This window comes from Homo sapiens, chromosome 6 (genome assembly GCF_000001405.40).
Source record: "Homo sapiens chromosome 6, GRCh38.p14 Primary Assembly".
Lineage (NCBI taxonomy): Eukaryota > Metazoa > Chordata > Mammalia > Primates > Hominidae > Homo > Homo sapiens.
The window spans coordinates 108,208,792-108,230,794 of record NC_000006.12 but is presented as its reverse complement, the minus strand read 5'-3'; the positions used below and the strand labels follow the sequence as shown (position 1 = coordinate 108,230,794).

The following is a 22,003-nucleotide window of genomic DNA, read 5'->3' as shown; positions in this document are numbered from 1 at the left end:
TTAATGTTAGTTTGGGCCCTGACATAAGCTTTAAGTGACTGTTAATATTGGGTTTCTAATATAGAACCCTTGAGAGCTATCCAGATTATTTGAGCCTCTGTCTTTGCTTCAGATTTATGATGAAACGTGATTTGCAGAACTTTTGAACTCCATGAACAAAATTGAAGTCTAAAGTAGTCCAGGGTTACTCAAACTCAGAATCTTCAGCATTTACTAGTATATACCTATACAAATAGATGAAGGCTGTGGCTTACTTTTTGGTTCTTGCCCTATGCTGTACTTTACTTTTGCTTGTCTCCCATCTTACCTGTCTGTGATCACTGTGCCCACATCGGCTGATCTATTGTTATTTCCCACAAATAACATATTTCTTGTATTTCCTACAAATATTATTTCATACAGATGGTTGTATTTAACACTTTTACCTGTTAAGAAATAAAATGAACAGTAGCTAGGAAGAAAATTGTGGCTTCCACTTTATACTCAGCCTGATACTAAGCAACTTCTCTTAAAATTAGGGGGAAAATATGAATATTAGAGTGAGAGAATACTAAATCTTGCTGTTTAAATTTCAAAAGTTTTAGTCATCTTAAAGTAAGTTAACAATATTTAAGCCTGATTTACATTTAATTTCAGAATTCAGCATTCTTTCTGGGTAAATCTAGAGCATTTAAAGTGGCATCCAAGATAAAACCTTTAAGGGATTTTTGCTGTAATTTGCCTCAGTAGTCTGACTCTTGTCCATACATTTCAAAGCAGATAAACCTAGGAATCAACTAGAGCCATCTGTTCTTAATTCTACACCTTAATGCTACATGCAGCTCATCTGTGGCTTCTACTTCTGTAGTAACTTCTCTGTTCTATTTTTTCTGTTCATAGCTATCATTTTTCTATTCAAACATATTTATTAACTCCTGATGCTCACAGGTAGTCACCTTAGCCCCATATTTAGAGTGCAATTTAAACTTTTCAGTTTTATTTCCCATCATTCCCTATGCTTTAGAATATTCAAGAATTATATACTAAATATACACTGTACTTGTTTCTTCTCTGCATTTAGCTCACACTATTTTCACCATTTTCAGCTGTCTTATAGTATGGCTAGCTCTGTGTTAAAAGAGTCCTGGCTGAGGCCATTGCACTCGCGCCATTTTACCCTAGCATGGGCGACAAGAGCGAAACTCTGTCTCAAAAACAAACAAAACGAAAAAGAGTCCTGACTGGCCGTACGCAGTGGCTCACACCTCATATTCCAGCACTTTGGGAGGCTGAGGTGGAAGGATCCCTTGAGCCCAGGAGTTCAAGACCAGCCTGAGCAACTTAGGGAGACCCTGTCTCTAAAGGAAGGAAGGGGAGGGAGGGAGGGGGAGAGGGAGGGGAAGCAGAGAGACTGAGGAAAGGAAAGAAAAGGAGGGGAAAGAATGAATGAATCCGGGCCAAATCAATTGTCAATTCTTCCGTGCTTTTCATATTATACAAATGGTATTATGCTATATAATATACTGTTCTGAAACTTTTTTTTTTTTTTTTTTTTTGAGGTGGAGTCTCGCTCTGTCGCCCAGGCTGGAGTGCAGTGGCATGATCTCACCTCACTGCAACCTCCGCCTCCCGGGTTCAAGCGATTATCCTGCCATAGCCTCCGGAGTAGCAGGAATTACAGGCTCGTGCCACCTCACCCGGCTAATGTTTGTATTTTTAGTAGAGATGGGGTTTCACTGTATTGGCCAGGCTGGTCTTGAACTCCTGACCTCAAGTGATCCACCCGCCTCAGCCTCCCAAAGTGCTGGGATTATAGGCATAAGCCACCGCACCCAGCCTGAAACTTTTTACATGTCATACATTCTAGACAGCTTTTCTGATTAACCTATGGCTGAGTTATATTTTGTAAAAAGCTGTGTAATATAAGCTTGTAATGTAAGATTTATTGTTTCTGGTCTTTTTTGGGGTTTTTTTTTGTGTCTATTACAATGCTAAAATATTTTTGTATGTGTGGAAATATTTGTAGGATTAATTCCCATTGAAATTGTTCATTCAAAAGTTATGTGTATTTAATAGAGTAATGGATAATGTATTCACCAAAATGCCCCCCTTTTTTTTGAGACCGTCTCCCTCTGTCACCCAGGCTGAAATACAGTGAGTGATGTGATCACAGCTCATGCAGCCTCAGCCTCGAAGGCTGAAGCCATCCTGACACCTTATCTTCCCACTACAGGCATGTGCCACCATACCCAGCTAATTTTTTTTTTTTTAAACAGAGTTTCGCTCTTGTTGCCCAGGCTGGAGTGCAGTGGCGCAATCTTGGTTCACTGCAGTCTCCGCTTCCCGGGTTCAAGCAGTTCTGCCTCAGCATCCCGAGTAGCTGGGATTACAGGTACCCGCCACCATGCCTGGCTAATTTTTGTGTTTTTAGTAGAGACAGGGTTTCACCATGTTGTCCAGGCTGGTCGCGAACTCCTGACCTCAGATGATCCACCCGCCTTGGCCTCCCAAAGTGCTGGGATTACAGGCATGAGCCACCACGCCCAGCCTGCCCAGCTAATTTTTTATTTTTTGTAGAGATGGGGGTCTCACCATGTTGCCCAGCCTGGTCTCAAACTCCTGTGATCCTCCCACCTCAGCCTTCCAAAGTACAGGGATTACAGGCTTGAGCCATCATGCCCAGCCAGTTTGTAGTATTTTTAACCATGGAAATTCAACTTTTTATATGCTTATTTTCTAACCTTGATTGGTGTATGTTTCATAAGGGCCAGGTCTGCATCTTATTCATCATTATAAATAATGATTCTCCCTTATCTAGCATGGTGCCCTTTTATAGATGATCAGTAAATAATAGTTTAGTCCTCCTGAAGCTGTAGGTAAAAAACCTCTCCGCCCTTCAATCATTTTATGAAAGTTAAATAAATTGAAAGTGACCAATCACAGGAGTTTCAGCAGTGATAGTTCAGTACCTTAAACAACAACAACAACAAAAAAAAAAAACCCACATTTTGCACTTAGTTATTTTAATCAGTTACATTGAATTACAAATCCTTGTAATGATGAGGAAGACGTTTAACAGGCTAAGTTAACCACTGCATATGTAATGGGCAAGTGATGTTTGAATTTCTTGATGTGACTTTAAACTCTAAAGCAGTCCTCATGCAAAAAGAGAAATCATAACCAGTTAAGAAAACTAAAGGAACTTTCTTAAGCTAATCATGGTCCTCTAAATTTAAGTATATAAACTATCAAACTATTAGCTAATCATAGAAGGGAAAGTACTTTTCCCCCTCACCCCTCCCCTTTCTGTTAGAGTGAATCAGATATAATCATGATTGTGTCAAAAGTTCAAAAGGGAAAATGGAAGGTAAAATGAGCTGAATTGGCACTCTTCTCTCAACATTGTACCTGTAAGCTTGATATGTTGTTTCAGAGATTAACTTTATAGACTTCCGTACCCAGAAGTATGAAAATTCTTAGGGGACTCTTTTCGCAAGCTTGATCTTAACGTATTTGAATAAAGAGAGCAGTTAATCCCCTTTGTAAAGTAATTTGAGAGGAGGGAATTCAGAATGTAAAATCTCACCTGCAGAAAACACTCAACTCTGTAAAGGCCTTTTTATCTTTAAGGCATTTACAAAGACTTAATATTTTAATGCGGAAGGGTGAACTTGGTTAAAAAGCCAATAGGTGAAATTAGAGAGAAATAATCCAGTGCTTTCTTTCTGGGAATTATTCTACTCTCCAGGGGACCTAATTTTATTCCCTGTGGGGAATGAGAATACCCTCTGTACAACAAGCCAGCATCTTTAAATATAAGCTTGACTTTTAGTATAATAAGAGTCTTGTTAGGTGCAATTTTTTCCTTAGTCATTTATACAATGAACAAATGTTGTGGTTACCTGGGAAAGAAAATTCAAGTGCTTTTAAATCTCTTGTGAGATTTGGTTTCATGCTTGAAACCTATACACTGTTATGCCCAATAGCATCTGTTGAAAATTCTGAGCTGTAAGGTATACAACATAGAGAAGTTAATACACTTAGGAAAAAATTGAGACCACTACAAAATGGATTTAAGGGCCTGAATTAAAAGCTTTTCTTGTGCTGAGTGACAGCTACTTACCAGTAGCATTAAGCTTAACAAATAAGTAGAACTTTCTTAGGAGTGAATATTACAAGATGATGTCCCTGTATACACAGTAGGAAGCCAGTCTTTCCTTCAGGTGGCACTTAACTTTTTTCTTCCAATTGTAAAACACTTTTTAGTTCTATGCAAATTCTGTGCTAATTAGTTCAAAGTCTGAATTAACGGACAGAATATAATCTAAGAGAATATATAGTGTTGAGTAGTATTTTTGGTAGGGTATGGCATTAGTTATTATGTTAAGTCATTTCTGTCTCCTACAAACTTTGTGATAATTTGCACATTTTAAAATCTTTTTGGCTGGGCACGGTGGCTCATGCCTGTAATCCCAGCACTTTGGGAGTCCAATACAGATGGATTGCGTGTACTCAGGAGTTCAAGACCAGCCTGAGCAACATGGTGAAACCCTGTCTCACCAAAAGTACAAAAATTAGCCAGATGTGATGGCATGCGCCTATAGTCTGAGCTACACAGGGGGTTGAGGTAGGAGAAATCACTTGACTTGACCCTGCCATGATCATGCCTCTGCTCTCCAGCCTGGGTTACAGAGTGAAACCCTGTCTCAAATAAAATTCTCAAATAAAATAAAATCTTTCTTCTCCTTTTTTTTTTTTTTTTTTTTTTTGAGAGAGAGGGTCTCATTTGTTGCCCATGCTGGAGTGCAGTGGTGCAATCATAATCATAGTTCACTACAGTCTGGAACTCCTGACTCCTGGGCTCAAGAGATCCTCCCACCTCAGCCTCCCAAGTAGTTAGGACTACAGGCACATGCCACCATACCCAGTAAATTTATTTTATTTTTTGTAGAGATGGAATCTTCTTATGTTTCCCAGGCTGGTAACTCTTGGCCTCAAGCAGTCCTCCCATCTCAGCCTCCCAAAGCACTAGGATTACAGGCATGAGCCACCATGCCTGGCCTAAAATCTATTCTTAATGATAAAATACTGGTCTCATACCACTCCTAATAGTCTTTAGTGTTTTTAGTCATAAACCATTTTTTATTGGATTTGGTAGCATCTTTTTTTTGTTTTGTTTTGTTTGAGTCAGAGTCTCACTCTGTCGCTCAGGCTAGAGTGCAGTGGAGCGATCTTCGGCTCACTGCCACCTCCACCTCCCGGGTTCAAGCAGTTCTCCTGCCTCAGCCTCCCAAGTAGCTGGGATTGCAGGCGCCCGCCACCATGCCCAGCTAAGTTTTGTATTTTTAGTGGAGACAGGGTTTCACCGTATTAGCCAGGCTGATCTCCTGCCCAGGCTGGTCTCTTGCCCAGGCTGGTCTTGAACTCCTGACCTTGTGATCGGCCCACCTCGGCCTCCCAAAGAGCTGGGATTACAGGCGTGAGCCACCACGCCAGGCCTAGCATATTTTTTCTTGTTGTTGTTTTTGTTTTTGGAGACGGAGTCTCGCTCAGTCGCCCAGGCTGGAGTGCAGTGGCGCGATCTCGGCTCACTGCAAACTCCGCCTCCTGAGTTCACGCCATTCTCCTGCCTCAGCCTCCTGAGTAGCTGGAACTGCAGGCGCCTGCCACTACGTCTGGCTGGTTTTTTTGTATTTTTAGTAGAAACGAGGTTTCACCTGTTAGCCAGGATGGTCTCGATCTCCTGACCTCGTGATCCGCCCGCCTCAGCCTTTCAAAGTGCTGGGATTACAGTCATGAGCCACCGCGCCCTGCCGCATATTTTTTCTTTAAAGGGGATCCAGTAAAAGATAATAGAAATCTTTCATGTTACTTTTTTTAAATTTAGAAGTTGACTGAAGTGGCAACAAGTAGCCTTTGCAATCTTAAAAAGAACAGTCTCCAGAAATTTTCTTACATTCCAGTGTAACTTCAAAGTACTGGGTGTTATGTTTTCAGTTCTTAAACTTGCCCTCCGCCTTTAAAGCTCTGGGTTTATGAGCTTGGTCTACTGAGTACGATTTAATTTCCTACTAGGGGTAAGACCCATAGACACTGTATGCAGCACTTTCCCTGCTTTTCTTGGCATTTTTTAGAAGGCCATTAAGAATAATGTTTTATTTAGGTCTTTTATTATGCAAGATCTAATCCAGTCCTCATAACAAAATATTTTGGTTTCATTTAGAAGCAGCTAAGTGGGCCAGGTGTGGTGGCTCACGCCTGTAATCCCAGCACTTTGGGAGGCTAAGGTGGGCAGATCACGCGGTCAGGAGATGGAGACCATCCTGGCTAACACGGTGAAACCCCCTCTCCACTAAAAATACAAAAAATTAGCGAGCCATGGTGGTGGGCATCTGTAGTCCCAGCTACTTGGGAGGCTGAGGCAGGAGAATGGCGTGAACCCAGGCGGCGGAGATCTCAGTGAGCCGAGATCACGCCACTGCACTACAGCCTGGGCGACAGAGCGAGATTCTGCCTCAAAAAAATAAATCAAAAAAAGTAGTTAAGTGAGCCAGCACAGTGGTATGACCCTGCAGTCCCAGCTACCCGGGAGGCCAAGGCGAGAGGATTGCTGGAGCCTAGGAGTTTAAATCCAGCCTGGGCAATGGAGTGAGACCCTGTCTCTGGGAGAAGAAAAAGAACTTCTACATCAACGGGCAGTGTGATAGGCATTGAGACATAGGTTAGGGTTTTGCTATGATGAATGAGCACCAAGAAAATAAAATTTTAAAAATTAAAAGGTAAGGTATATTTCCCCTATGAGGACTGTTTGCTGAGGTACTAGCTAAGCTGGAGAATAGTCAAGAGCTAGCCTTTTTTCACCCCTGCTTAGTTGACATTTTTAAAGCTCACTGAAATAATAAGAAAATGACCTACATTTATGTAAATATCCTCAGGCAGAATGACATCCAAAAGCATGCATGCAAAGGTACATTTAAAAGTTGTGTTCTTGTGTAAATACTTTTAAAGAACTAGTGGGCCAGGCAGTGGCTCAGGCCTGTAAGCGTAGCATTTTGGGAGGCCGAGGCAGCAGATCACTTGAGGTCAGGAGTTTGAGACCACCAGCCTGGCCAACATGGTGAAACCCCGCCTCTACTAAAAATACAAGAAAATTAGCCAGGCCTGGTGGCGAGTGCCTGTAATCCCAGCTACTTGGGAGGCTGAGGCAGGAGAATCACTTGACCCTAGGAGGTGGAGGTTGCAGTGAGCCAAGATCACATCACTGCCTGGGCGACAGTGAGATTCTGTCTCAAAAAAAAAAAAAAAAAAAAAAAAAAAAGAACTAGCAAAGTTTTATTTTGTTATGGGTAAAAGGTCATATTAAAAACATCATGATTTCGGCCGGGTGCCGTGGCTCATGCCTGTAATCCCAGCACTTTGGGAGGCCGAGGCGGGCGGATCACCTGAGGTCAGGAGTTCAAGACCAGCCTGGGCAACATGGTAAAACCCCATCTCTACAAAAATACAAAAATTAGCTGGGCATGATGGTGGGTGCCTGTAATCCCAGCTACTTGGGAGGCTGAGGCGGAAAAATCATTTGAACCTGGGAGGTGGAGTTTGCAGTGAGCCGAGATCGTGCCATTGCACTCCAGCCTAGGCAACAAAGGGAGATTCTGTCTCAAAAAAAGAAAAAGAAAGTCATGATTTCTTTTGTTTTGCCATACCCGTCCCCCCATTTTTTTGAAGTTTCCTTAATGTGCTTCAATTTAGGACTAACTTTTTTTGTTTCAGACAAATCTTCCTATTTTCAAGCTGAAAGAATCTACTGTTAGAAGAAGATACAGTGACTTTGAATGGCTGCGAAGTGAATTAGAAAGAGAGAGCAAGGTAAGAATGATTTATGATGCAACTTTAAAGCAAAACATTCCAAGTTTTAATGTTTAATATTTCTCAGGAAAATGATATTGAATAAAATGGGTAAAAGCAAATATGATTTCTTTTTTTCAAATAGTTCAGTGTCATTTTATAGAGGTAGAGTCTGTGTAAATTTTCCTTAGAACTCTTTCTCTTGTCTGCTTTGGCCCAGTTGAGGTCTTTGCTGACTCACACTTCAATAACACTTCTTAGAACCTTGTTGCTATTACTTCCTTCCTTTCCCTCATCGTCCTATTCCATCTTCCCCTCTCCACACACTTAAGCCAAGTTTCTCTTCCTCAATACATTTTATAAATGTCAGTGTATTTCCAATTTTGTTTTAGTGACATATAAGTTTTTTTCATCACATATATGTTCATGTAACAGAAGTTTCATAAAGCAGTAATGACCTCACTCTGTGTGATATGTGCTGATATTCTTCAGATTAGCGTTTTTAAATGATGGCCATGATCCACTAATGGGTTGCTGCCGGCAATTTAAAAACACTGTTACATGCCTGATCTTCTCTTAGAATAGAATTTGGTAGCTTTGGCATCAAAATAAATTAAAGCAAGGTCTCACTCTGGTGTCTCTCATTTCAGCCCTGCCTCAGAATGACATCAGAGGCAAGGAGTCATGGAAGGACGTGGTGTGCTCAGAATGATGAAAAGTTATTTTGTGACTAGAAAGTAGGTAAAAAGGTGTGGGTATGGTAGGAGTCCTGAACTAGATGAAGGCTAGTCTGTACTCATTTCTCAAGTTTAATAAGGGTTTTCTTTTTTTTTCTGTTTCTAGCCTAAGATAAAAGTGGCTGCATATGAGCACAAAATATGCAGATCATAGCATTCCAACAAAAATGTAAAGAAGGCCGGGCATGGTGGCTCATGCCTATAATCTCGGTACTTTGGTAGGCCGAGTCAGGAGGATCTCTTGAGCCCAGCAGTTCAAGACCAGCCTGGGGAACATAGTGAGGCCCCATCTCTTCCAAAATTTTTAAATATGAATAAAACTAGAAATACAAAATCTGTGTTAAGAAAGCTCTCAAACTTTACCAAAAGACCAGACCTAAATAAAGAGGGGCCAGGTGCAGTGGCTTACGCCTGTAATCCCAGCACTTCAGGAGGCCAACGTGGGTGGATCACTTAAGCCAAGGAGTTCGAGACCAGCGTGGGCAACATGCGAAACCCCATCGCTACAAAAAATACAAAAATTAGCCAGGCATGGTGACATGCACCTGTAGTCCCAGCACTCAGGAGGCTGAGGCAAGAGGATCACTTTGAGTCCAGGAGGCAGAGGTTGCAGTGAGCTGTAGTCTTGCCCCTGCACTCCAGCATGGGCACCAGAGCCAGGCCCTGTCTCAAAAAAAAAAAAAAAAAAAAAAAAAAAAAAAGTGTAATACTGTATTCCTTGTAATACTGTATTCCTCGTTTGGAATGTTTACTGTTGAAGATTTTTTTATTTTATAAACATTTTAGCTCGTCCTTTGTGTTCTAGGAGTTACAGGTAGAGCTATGAACAAATTAAGGTCCCCTCTTTTATGGTGCTTATATCCTATTAGGTAAATTGCGGGGGAGGGGGTTGTTGAAGAGAAGGCAGGAAAAATATAGTAAAATATATAGATGTCAGATGATGAGAAGCTCTAAAAAAAAAAACAAAGCTAAACTAAGGGAAGTAGGAAGTGCCAGGGGAGCCACTCTCATATAGAGCACAAGGGAAGGCCTCACTCTAGGTGACATTAGCAGAGACCTGCATGAAGTAGAGCAGTATCTTCTAACTTATTTATAAATTCATAAGATTGTAGTAGAAATTTCAGTAGGGCTGTTTATAAAGTTGCAGATTTATTTATGAGCTTTAGAATCAGAAAAAGCTCAAGAATAACCAAAAAATATTTTCAGTATATAGTGGGCAGCAGGTTATTTGTTCTACCAGACATCAAAACATCTTTTTTTTTTTTGAGACTGAGCCTCACTCTGGAGTGCAGTGGCATCATGTCGGCTCACTGCAACCTCCATCTCCGGGGTTCAAGCAATTCTCCTGCCTCAGCCTCCCGAGTAGCTGGGATTACAGGCACCCACCACCACACTCGGCTAATTTTTTTTATATTTTTAGTAGAGATGGGGTTTCATCATGTTGGCCAGGCTGGTCTCGAACTCCTGACCTCAGGTGATCCGCCCTCCTCGGCCTCCCAAAGTGCTGGGATTACAGGTGTGAGCCACTGTGCCTGACCCAAAACATATCTTAAGGCTATAGTAATTCAAACAATGTGGTGTAGTCATATGGCACTTAATGATGAGAATACATTCTAAGAAATGCATCCTTAGGTGATTTCATTGTTTGTGCAAACATCATATGAGTATACTCACACAAACCCAGGTGGTGTAGCCTACTACACACCTAGGCTATATGGTACAGCCTATTACTCCTAGACTACAAGCCTATCCAACATGTTACTGTACTTAATACTACAGGCAGTTGTAACATAGTGGGAAGCATTTGTGCATCTAAACATATAAAAGATATGGTAAAAAATACAGCGTGGAAGACTTTTTTTTTTTTAAAGCATGGAAGATTTTTTAAATAGTACACCTGTATAGGGCACTTACCATAAATGGAGCTTGCAGGATTGAAAGTTGTTCTGGGTGAGTCAGTTAGTATGTGGCGAGTGAATGAGAAGACCTAGGACATTACTGTTTATTACTGCAGGCTTTATAAACACTGTACATTGAAATTTATAATTTATAAAATATTTTTCTTCAATAATAAATTAACCTTAGCTTACTTTTTAAACTTTTTACTTTAACTTTTTGACTCTTGTAATAACACTTAGCTTAAAACACAGACACATTGAACAAATGTACAAAAATATGTTCTTTATATTCTTATTCTATAAGCTTTTCTCTATTTAAATTTTTTTAACTTTTTCTTAAAAATTAAGTCACAAATATACATAGTAGCCTAGGCCTGCACAGAGTCAGGATCACCAAGACATCTCTAGGCAATAGGAATTTTTCACCTCCATTATAATCTTAAGGCACCACAGTTATTATCTTAAGTGGTCCATCTCTGATGGGAAACACTGTTATGCAGTGTATATTGCTTTAGGTTGGGCAAATAGATTAGTGGAATATAATAGAGTTTAGAGTTTGACCCATGTATTTATAGGGAATTTAGTTCATAACAAAAATAGCATTGTCATTCAGTGGGAAAGGAATTCAGCAAATGGAGTTGAAATATTTGTCTATTAGGAAATAAAGATTTATATCTCACTATATTACAAATTACAGATGGTTGGGAGATTGATTGATTGATTGATTGACAGAGCCTTGCTCTGTTGCCCAGGCTGAAATGCGGTGGCGTGATCATAGCATACTATAATATCCTCCAACTCCTGGTCTCAAGTGATTTTCCTGCCTCAGCCTCCCAAGTAGCTGGGACTACAGGCATGAGCCACCATGTCCAGCTAATTTTAAAAAATTTTTTGTAAGGATGAGGCTTCACTATGTTGCCCAGGCTGGTCTTGAATTCCTGGCCTCAAGTAATCCTCCTGCCTTGGCCTCCCAAAGTGCTGGGATTACAGGCATGAGCCACCACACCTAGCTGAGAAGTGTCTTGATACATAGGCTTTGGGCTTTGCTTGACATACCATGTGGCACACTGGAAATGTTTAATAAACGTTTGCTGAGTGTATATTTTGCTTTTTTTTGTAAATTTATTTATTCATTTTTTAAAAATTTTTAGTAGAGACGGGGTTTCACCGTGTTAGCAAGACGGTCTCGATCTCCTGGCCTTGTGATCCGCCCGCCTTGGCCTCCCGAAGTGCTGGGATTACAGGCGTGAGCCACCCCGCCCGACCGCTTTTGTTTTTAGTAACAGCTTTATTGAGATATAATTCACATACCATGCAATTCACCCATTTAAAGTGTATAATTCACTGGTTTTTAATATGTTCACAGAGTTGTGCAACCATCACTATTTTAGAGCACTAGTCAATTTTAGAGCATTTTTATCACCCAATAAAAGAAACCCTGTCCCCATTAGTAGACACCACTGATTTCTCCCCAACCCTTCCTCACTCAGCCTATGGCAACCACCTGCTAGTCTCCTTTCTCTGTGGATTTGCCCATTCTGGGCATATGTAAATGGAAGCCCACAATATGTGATCTTTTGTGTCTGGCTTCTTTCACTTAACATGTTTTCACAGTTCATGCTTTTCTAACATGCATCAATTACTTCATTTCTTTTTATTCCTAAATAATATCCTATTGTATGCTTATACCACATCTTATTTATACACTTATTTGGTGGACATTTTGTTCTACTTTTTGGCTGTTATTGGTAGTGCTGCTGTGAACATTTGTGCATAGGTTTCTGTCTGCATGTGTTTTCATTTCTTTTCAGTATATACCTACCAGTACATTGCTGGGTCATAACTCTTTTTAACCTTTTGAGGAATTGGCAGACCGTTTTTCCAAAGCAGCTGTGTAATTTTACATTCTTACCAGCAATGTGAGGTTCTACTTTTCTCCACATCCTTACCAATTGCCTGTCTTCTTTATTATAGCTATCCTACTGTTTGTGAAGGGGTATTGCATTGTGGTTTTGATTTTTATTTCTCTAATGGCCACTAATGTTGATTTTCTTTTCATATACTTACTGGTCATTTATGTATCTTCTTTGGAGACATCTTTATTGAGAGCTTTTGCCTTTTTCAATGGGTTCATCTTTTTATTATAGAGTTATGTCGAGAATATATAAGACTCTTAGAGTTCCCTATCAGATACATAATTTGCACATATCTCCCAGTCTCTGGGTTGTTTTTCACTTTCTTGATGTTGTCCTTTGAAGCACAATACTTCACATTTAACATTAGACCAGTTAAATATATTGAGAGTTAAATCCATGTGAAAGTTTTACTCGTATTACAGTATTGCAAAGAACAATGTAATCAAGTTATTTTGTGGTATATTAGTACTTTTAACTAAGATCTGTTAAACTAAGCTAGAAATTAGCTGACATGTATTATGGTCAGATCTTTTAGCTTTTATTCTAGTTTGCTTTAGCTTTCAATATATTGTGCTCACCAGATATTCTCCTATTTCTCACCCCACATGCACGCACATATCTTTGCATTCATGACTTTTTAATTAGTATTAGAATTTTTTTTTTTTTTTTTTGAGACGGTGTCTAGCTCTCGCCCAGGCTGGAGTACCGTGGTGCAGTCCCGGCTTACTGCAATCTCTGCCTCCCAGGCTCAAGCAATTCTCCTCAGCCTCCTGAGTAAAGGGGTTACAAGCATGCACCACCATGCCCGGCTAATTTTTTGTATTTTTAGTAGACACAGGGTTTCACCATGTTGGCCAGGCTGGTCTTGAACTTCTGACCTCAGGTGATCCACCCACCTTGGCCTCCTGAAGTGCTGGGATTACATATGTGAGCTACCGCACCCAACCTGGTGTTAGAATTCCAGTTAGGTGTTTTCAGACTGCTTCAGCAAAAATAATTTGATGTAGAAGAGAATCTTAGCTGGATGAGCCATTTATGATTTTTATAGATCATTAATCCTGTTGCCTACCACCTCCCCATCCATTTGAATGACTAGTTTGAATATGTTAGGAAGAGTGTATCTCTACAGAGGATAATGCATAGCTATCCTTTTCTTAAATTCCCATTATATATGAAATTTATATATATTTAATTATATATATATTGTTACATTTTTTATCATTTTCCTTCTTTCTTTAACTGACATCCTTGAGCTATCCTTTTCTTAAGTTTCATGCTAAATTCTACCCTGAATTAATGGTGGTCATTTATTTAACACAGTGGTTCCAGAATTCTTTTTTTAAATAATAATTGTGTAGATACAGATATTTTTCCCTGCCCACCAGATAGCCATTCTACTGGAACGTAATGGTTAGCATTCCTTTGTTTCTCAGTTATAGAAGGTCCCTGCAGATTTTAACTCTCAACTAAACAGATGTTAACATGGGGGTGAGATCTGAGAATGCTAGCATAAATTTACGGAGACAAATCCATAGATATCTTCATCATTGGTCATCTGAGGAGAGTAAATCTAGGAAGGGATTATAAAGTTTATTTGGACATTTGGTTTTTTTGTTTTTATTTTGTTTTTTGTTAATCTATATGAAGTCGAGTTGCTCTTTCCCTTTTTTACCCTATTGAATTTTGTTTGAGGATAAACAACTCGTTGTAGAAACTATATCAAGGGTTTAAAGTTTTAATTTTTTTGAATATGTGTAATTTGTATTATTGGTGAAAAGAAAAATATGTATCAGTTTACTATATATATTTCTCCTTGTTCTGATTGTTTGCTTACACATTTCTCTGTTTGCGTTTAAAGTAAGGATCCAGCTAAGTGGTTGGTCATTTAACAGATATTTGAGCTTCTGTTGTATGCCCAGTTTTTCTTAAAATAACCACAAGAAGCCTAAGACAGGGGTCTTGATTTGAAGACATTAGTATGATAGATTGATGGTTTTCCACCAAAGGCAGTTTTATCCCCCAGGAGACGTTTGACACTGTCTAGAGACATTTTTTATTGTCTCAGCTGGGGGTGCTATGTTGTCTAGTGGGCAGAGGCTAGGGATGCTGCTAAAGAAAAGAATGCCAGCCTGGCCAACACAGTGAAACACCATCTCCACAAAAAATAGAAAAATTAGCCAGGCGTGGTAGCACGCTATGTACCTGTAGTGTCCCGGCTATTTGGGAGGCTGATGCAGGAGGATCATCTGAGTCTGGGGGAGGCTGCAGCGAGCCATGATCGCACCACGGAACTCCAGCCTGGGTGACAGAGCAAGACCCCATCTCAAGAAAGAAAAGAATGCACAAGAAAGCCCCCCAGTACAAAACTTATCTGATTCTCAGTAGTGCTAGGGTAGAGAAACCAAACTAACCTGTGAAATAGCTAGGTGCTATTTAATCAAAACAAGTATTTTGAGCTCCAGAATAACATTTTTAAAAATTTATTTTTTTTTTAAGACGGGGTCTCGCTGTCACCTAGGCTGGAGTGCAGCGACATTTTAGTTCACTCCAGTCCTGAACTCCTGGACTCAAGTGATCATCCCACTTCCGCCTCCTAAGTAGCTGGGACTACAGGCTCACACCACCACACCCAGCTAAGTTTTTTTTATTTTTGTAGACATGTGCCCAGGCTTGTGTCAAATTCCTGGCCTCAAGCAATCCTCCCGCCTGCCTTGGCCTCCCAAAGTGCAGGGATTGCAGATGTGAGCCACTGCACCTGGCCCAGAATAATATTTGAGCTCCAGATAATTCCCAGAAGGGAGAGATCAGCAGGAGTTGACCCTTGGTTAGGCTTTGAAGGGGAAAATTTGGGATCTTCCTATAGTGCGAGAAGGGAGAAATGACAGGTCTTTGGGAAAAGACAGCAGGATAGGGCATTTGGGAGAAAGTTGACTTGTTTCTTAATTTAGGAAACAGAATAGTGACAACTAGAGTTATTGGTATTTTGTCATCACCTCAAACACAAGTAGGAAAGACTGTATGCAGATGGTAAGAGGTTGAAGAAACCAGAAATCTTTTTTTTTTTTTTTTTCTAGACGGAGTCTCACTCTGTAGCCCAGCTGGAGTGCAGTGGCGTGATCTCCACTCACTGCAAGCTCTGCCTCCCGGGTTCATGCCATTCTCCTGCCTCAGCCTCCAGAGTAGTTGGGCCTACAGGCGCCCGCCACCACGCCCGGCTCATTTTTTGTATTTTTTAGTAGAGACAGGGTTTCACCGTGTTAGCCAGGATGGTCTCGATCTCCTGACCCTGTGATCTGCCCGCCTCGGCCTCCCAAAGTGCTGGGATTACAGGCATGAGCCACCACGCCCGGCTGAAACCAGAATTCTTACCTAACCATGTTGCAGAGAGAACATTAACGTTTCTTCATTTAATTGAGAGTTGATTTTGATCTCTGCAGTTTCCATTGCAATAAGGCATTGCCTTCTCCAAGTGGCATCACAAGTGTCTGAGGGGCATGGTAACCTTTATTTCAGTGTTGTGAGTGTTCTCTTTGTATACCTGGGCTTTGATAAGGCCAAGAAAAATGATATAAGCTATGGGCCCTGCCTTTGAATTAGGAGCTTTTGTCTGATGGGCTATTCTGCATTTGTCTAAACATTTGGTCTTTTTTCAGTGTATTTTTTGCTCTTTTATATTTCAACTAGTTTGACCGGACGATGGCTGTCATAGTGAGGACATGCTTTGTCTTCATGTTGTGCTCTATAAATTTTCACAACCCAGTCATCATGATCAAGGAGTTTCTGTCTTCACATTTTAGGTCGTAGTTCCCCCGCTCCCTGGGAAAGCGTTTTTGCGTCAGCTTCCTTTTAGAGGAGATGATGGAATATTTGATGACAATTTTATTGAGGAAAGAAAACAAGGGCTGGAGCAGTTTATAAACAAGTAAGTGCTTCCTATTCCTCAAAGTGTAGGACTACTTTAAGTGACTACTTGTAGTTTAGATGTTAAGCTAAACTGCACTGTTGCCTTTTCTTTCAGCCATTTCCTAACTTTTCATATCATTTAAACAAAGTAAAAGTATCTGACAAGTTGAATATCATGTGATAAATATTAACACATTTGAGTGATTGAAATGAGCATCTTTGTGTTGACCTACGTTTTGTATTTGTTTTTCTTGGTTAATTTATGCAAATTACATTTAAAATTACGGCATTTAAAAAATACAGTTTTACTTATGATTCTTTCTGATTTAAGGTATGTTCTAGCATGAACAATAAAACTTACAATGTACTTGCAATCATCTTGTTTGATTGCAGATGGAGGTATTAGCATGTCTTGTATAAAGGTGCATGTTTTTAATTTTCATGGTAAAATGTATTCTTTTGAAAATGTAAGAAGACTTAGGATTGTTTCTTTTTTACTTTAGAAACTCTTGATAAGCTCAAACCAATATTTTTAGCTTTTAATTTTATTCCCATTTGAAATATAGCTATTTTGTAAAATAATAGAAAGCCAGAGTGTTAGAAAGATTTATGCCAAGAAAGACCTCACTGTAATTGTGCATTGGCCTTAAACTAGCAAAAGTAAATCAAATCGTACAGAATATGGTAATGTGAGCTTACACTGTAAATTTTATCTAGTGATTTGAAGATCCATGAGTGGTAAACAGGAGAGAAAGGGTTACATAAAGCCCTTGGTTATCTACTGTAGCACTCAATATTCATTGTCTGTGAATCTGTTTTCCTTTTGGAGAAGGCAGTACTATATTAGATTTTTTTTTTTTTTTTTTTGAGACAGTCTTGCTCTGTCGCCCAGGCTGGAGTGCAGTGGTGCAGTCTCGGCTCAGTGAAACCTCCACCTCCCAGGTTCAAGTGATTCTCATGCCTCAGCCACCTGAGTAGTTGGGATTATAGTTGCGCACCATCGTGTCTGGCTTATTTTTGTATTTTTAGTAGAGACAGGGTTTCGCCATGTTGGCCAGGCTGGTCTCAAACTCCTGACCTCAAGTGATCTGCCTGCCTTGGTCTCCCAAAGTGCTGGGATTACAAGCATGAGCCACCACGCCTGGCCTATATTAGATATTTTTAAATTCTGAAATAATAGTCCGGTTGCCCAGTGTGGTTTTAAGCAGGCAAAAACAAACAAAATACCTGGATATTTGTGCCTGTTTTTTTAGTATTTTGGGCTTTTATTGAACTTCATTGTATTTCTAACTTCAATCCTGTATCTTCTCCTCTTTAAAATAGACTCTGGCCTGGTACAGTGGATCATGTCTGTAATCCCAATATTTTGGGAGGCCGAGGTGGGCAGATCACTTGAGGTCAGGAGTTCCAAGGCCAGCCTGGCCAACATGGCGAAACCCTGTCTCTACTAAAAATACAAAAATTAGTGGGGCGTGGTGGTGTTTACCTGTAGTCCCAGCTACTCAGGAGGCTGTGGCAGGAGAATCGCTTGAACCTGGGAGACAGAGGTTGCAGTGAGCCAAGATCACACCACTGCACTCTAGCCTGGGTGATAGAGCAACACTTTTGTCTCAAAAAAAAAAAAAAAAAAAAAAGATTCTTAGGATCAATTGACATGCTTCACTTTTAACATTAAAATTAATTTAAGTTTCTTATGAATACACCAGCTATGATGTAAAGCTAATTGGGTACATGTGCCACAAGCAGTGAAAAATTTGTGATTAATGTTTTCTTAATTAGAGTTGTGAACCAAACAAAAGAACATATACCATTAGTTGATAGTGCATAGCTTTATGGACAGTCCAGAATAATACTTATTGGTAAACTGTACATGATTCTGAGCCGGGCGCAGTGGCTCACGCCTGTAATCCCAGCACTTTGGGAGGCTGAGGTGAGCAGATCACTTGAGGTCAGGGATTTGAGACTAGCCTGGCCAACATGGTGAAACCCCGTCTCTAGTAAAAATATAAAAATTAGCTGGGCATGATGGCACACGCCTGTAGTCCCAGCTACTCAGGGGGCTGAGGCACGAAATCACTTGAACCCAGGAGACGGAGGTTGCCATGAGCCAAGATCAGCCACTGCACTCCAGCCTGTGCAACAGAGCAAGACTCCATCTCAAAAAAAAAAAAATTATACATGCTTCTCAACTTTAAAATATGTGTTTTGAACTCCCCCACCTTGTATAAAATATTGGACTAAATTTATATTTTTTATTCTCAGGGTCGCTGGTCATCCTCTGGCACAGAACGAACGTTGTCTTCACATGTTTTTACAAGATGAAATAATAGATAAAAGCTATACTCCATCTAAAATAAGACATGCCTGAAATTTGGCAAGAAGGGGCAAAAACGTGACTATTAATGATTGATAAGCACCAGTGAAGAAGTTCTAACTTTTAGCATGCTGCACAGAAACTGGTATAACATGCCTTCAGTATACTAACACTCATATGCTCAGTTTTGTTTTGTTTTGGCAGTTGACAAGAAGTTAATTTGCTTTAGTAAAAATCCCTCATTCCAGCCTTTCTATATAAATAGCTCTTTCTTGCTGTTTTAATGTGGTGCACACTATAGCCTCACAAACCTGTTATTCCAGTGTAATCTGCAGTGTCGTAACTAAAGTTACTGGCTTGGTCTTATTTGCACAGTTTTTGCGTCTTGTTTGCTTCTTGCATCTGATTAACTAGAATATTTCTCTTTCCCCCTTTTAATTTGTGATGTCACTTGACCCCATTTATGTGTAGGAGCACTACACCATTGGTTTCCAATACTGCACACATAAGATACATACTTGTGTGCAGAAAGTATCTTCCTCCAGGCTTGTAATACCCTTCACATGGAAGATTAATGAGGGAAATCTTTATATTCTGTATAAAAACAAAAGCAAATTTATATACTAAAATCATTTGTCTAAAAATTTAAGTTGTTTTCAAATAAAAATTAAAATGCATTTCTGATATGCACTGATTGTGTTGCCTCCAGCTTTTTTTGCTCTCTATGAGTGACTACTTAAGTCACTTGTTGAGAGGGATTATTTACTAATTATATACTTCTCATTCCTGTAACTCCATTCCCTTTAAACAGTGGTGATATCAAATATACTTCCATCCATTGAATGGGGTATTTTTAACAACAACAAAAGTGATATACTAAAAAATGTATTGCTTAAGGCTTATTGAATCATTTTGAAGCACTTTGTGTATTTGAAAACTGCTTTATAATCTCATTTATTAAAAGGACTTTCAAAGATAAAATACCATTTCTCCTATTTTTCAGAAGTTTTTTCCTAGTCAACTGAGTGACTTGTTTAAACAAACTTAGCAAGGGTGTAATAACTCTTCTTAGTCAGCAGGTTTGTGCTTTCTCTTTAATTTGGTTTGGGATAGTAGCACACTTTATCCTCTTTAAGAGAAGGGCACAGTCTTCTAGCCTGACCTGCAAAAATGATAAGATACCAGAAAACACATGACTTCTTGCTGCCTAACTTGTGTTGTGTTCAGACCTTTCAGCCAGAATGTGGTCTCTAGTTTGTACAACTTGCGGTGGTTTGGGGACCCATTGTGACTTGGAGTTAAATCCCAAAGTAAAGAAATTTTGTCCTCCTACAGCAGATGCGTCTCCTCTGAAGATGGATCAGTCCATTTAAAAGGAAACAAGCTTGGGTCTTGGCCAAACTAGGATGTCCACCAAGCACATAGAAGTCATAGGAAGAAGTCAGAGTTGCCCCATAAGGCCTTTTGTTGCTCAAACAGTATTTCACAGTTCCCTAATACTGGATGTTTCAATTACTGTAAGAAGGTACAAAGCTAAACAACATGTAAATTTTATTTCAGTGAACTAGAGAAGTAAAGTCAGAGGCTGTCAGTTTTGGGTATGCAGAACAGAATAATGGTAGCTCTGCAAAACCAAATAATTCTTTAAAGCAGTGGTTCTCGGCAAGGCACAGTGGCTCTCACCTGTAGTGCCAGCACTTTGGGAGGCCAAGGCAGGGGGATTGCTTGAGGCCCGGAGTTCTGAGACCAACCTGGGTAACATAGTGAGACTATGTCTCTACAAAAAGTTTAAAAATTAGCTGGGCATGGTGGTGTGTGCCTGTAGTCCCAGCTACTTGGGTGGCTAGGTGGAAGTGTATCTTGAGCCCAGGAAGTTGAGGTTGCAGTGAGCCAAGATCATGCCACTTAATTCTAGCCTAGGCAAGAGTGAGAGACCCAGTCTCAAAAGAAAATTTTTTTTTCTGTTAAACATTAAAATAAAGCAGTGGTTCTCAACCAGGGATGATTTTGTCCCCCAGGGGACGTTTGGCAATGTCTGAAGATATTTTTGGTTGTCTCAACTAGGGAATGTTACTGGACTCTAACAGGTGGATGTCAGAGATGCTGCTAAACCTCTTAAAATGAACAAGCCAGCCTCCCACAGCAGAAAAATGTTAGTAGTGTCAAGGTTTCCACTCACCGTGGAGTCTTGATTTTGATCATTTACAGACAAGGAATAGCGTGGTTTAGGATGGCTTGTACTAGCCTGCCCGCTTTTAACCTCTACCACAATTTCCTAAGGGCAGGCATGCTCTTGAAAAGTCAAGGGTTTTAAAGTAGGTGAAAAGTTTATTCCAGGTAACGTGTTTTTGCCTAATGGAGGAAGGTGCTTTTCAGTGTTATCTTGTAGGAAATTGAGACCATGGTTTATAGTGAAACTATGCCTTTAACCCGCTGAAGTAAAAATGCAGGTGCTCTTAATTCTAACTACATAGGAGGGGGTTCCAGAATCCCTTAAGAATCTTCCTAAAAAAAAATTAATTTGGCAGTGAGTTACAAAGCAATAGATGGATAATTCTAAGGAATCTCAGGCTCTGTGTCCACTATTCAAGTATTTAATTGCCTTGTCTCAACTCCTGCCAGTTATAAAGGGTCAATATCAGTGGTAACTTTATAACTTACATCGAGGATTACATGTAAAATTCATAGGACAGTGTCGGAACATATAAAAGCATAATAATAGTTATCAGTTGGCAGTGGTAGTCATAATAGTAGTAGTAGCAAATGGTACCACTCTTACTCATTTGCCATGGCAGTTCCAGAATAGGTTTATCTGGTATTTGGTTTCCTACCCAGAGGTTCTAACATCATGACCCCTGGTAGTGATTATGACTTTGGGGAAGGGGTGTTAGGGGAGGAGGAGCATCTCCTTTTTATACATCCCATGGTTTTTCCACTCAGCCCTCTTTGCTAGGAGGCCATCCTAGATTAAAATTCCGTCCTGTTGCCTCTGCTTGCTTTGCCTTTTTTGGTTACATGAGTGGGGCGAATATGGCCAATGAAAGAATAAGGCTGTGGCCTCTAAGGCCTTTACAGATAAAATGTGTTTGAGGTATGGATGGACAGAGTTTAGCCCACTCCCTCGCATATAGATTAATACTCAGTGGGTGCCAGCTGCTATTACTAACAATATGCCAGTGTTTAGGCTAGGAAAGGAGTTAAAACTGTTTTGGGATAGAGAGAATAAGTTTGTAATAATTCCACTGTGATCTCTGTCACAGAACTTCCCTATGAAGTAGATAATGTTATTTTTACAAATGAGAAGACTGAGGTTTTGAAAGCTTGAGCAGAATTTTCAAGGTTAACCAGGAGAGGATGGTACTGCATTTAAACTGTGAAGACGTTTGATTCTAAAGGCCATGGCTTGGTGTA

General features: G+C 40.0%; 1 protein-coding gene across 4 annotated transcripts in view, besides 1 other annotated feature; it reads left to right on the top strand.

The window, feature by feature from the left end:
- Nucleotides 1-19,573, top strand: part of SNX3 (sorting nexin 3) — a 49,819-nt gene extending 30,246 nt beyond the window's left edge. For 2 of the 4 annotated variants that reach the window (NM_001300929.2, NM_003795.6), the window contains exons 2-4: nt 7,750-7,845; nt 16,173-16,297; nt 18,541-19,573. In NM_001300929.2, the coding sequence (NP_001287858.1) occupies nt 7,750-7,845; nt 16,173-16,297; nt 18,541-18,646 (327 nt within the window). In that variant the 3' untranslated portion in view covers nt 18,647-19,573. The remainder of the gene's footprint in view (nt 1-7,749; nt 7,846-16,172; nt 16,298-18,540) is intronic. The other 2 variants (NM_152827.4, NM_001300928.2) reach the window with 2 other exon arrangements.
- Nucleotides 633-833: a silencer, noted in NCBI's record as "peak6011 fragment used in MPRA reporter construct". NCBI's record gives its function as "represses an SCP1 promoter by STARR-seq MPRAs in K562 erythroleukemia cells {active_cell/tissue: K562}" and the evidence as "EXISTENCE:reporter gene assay evidence [ECO:0000049][PMID:32103011]".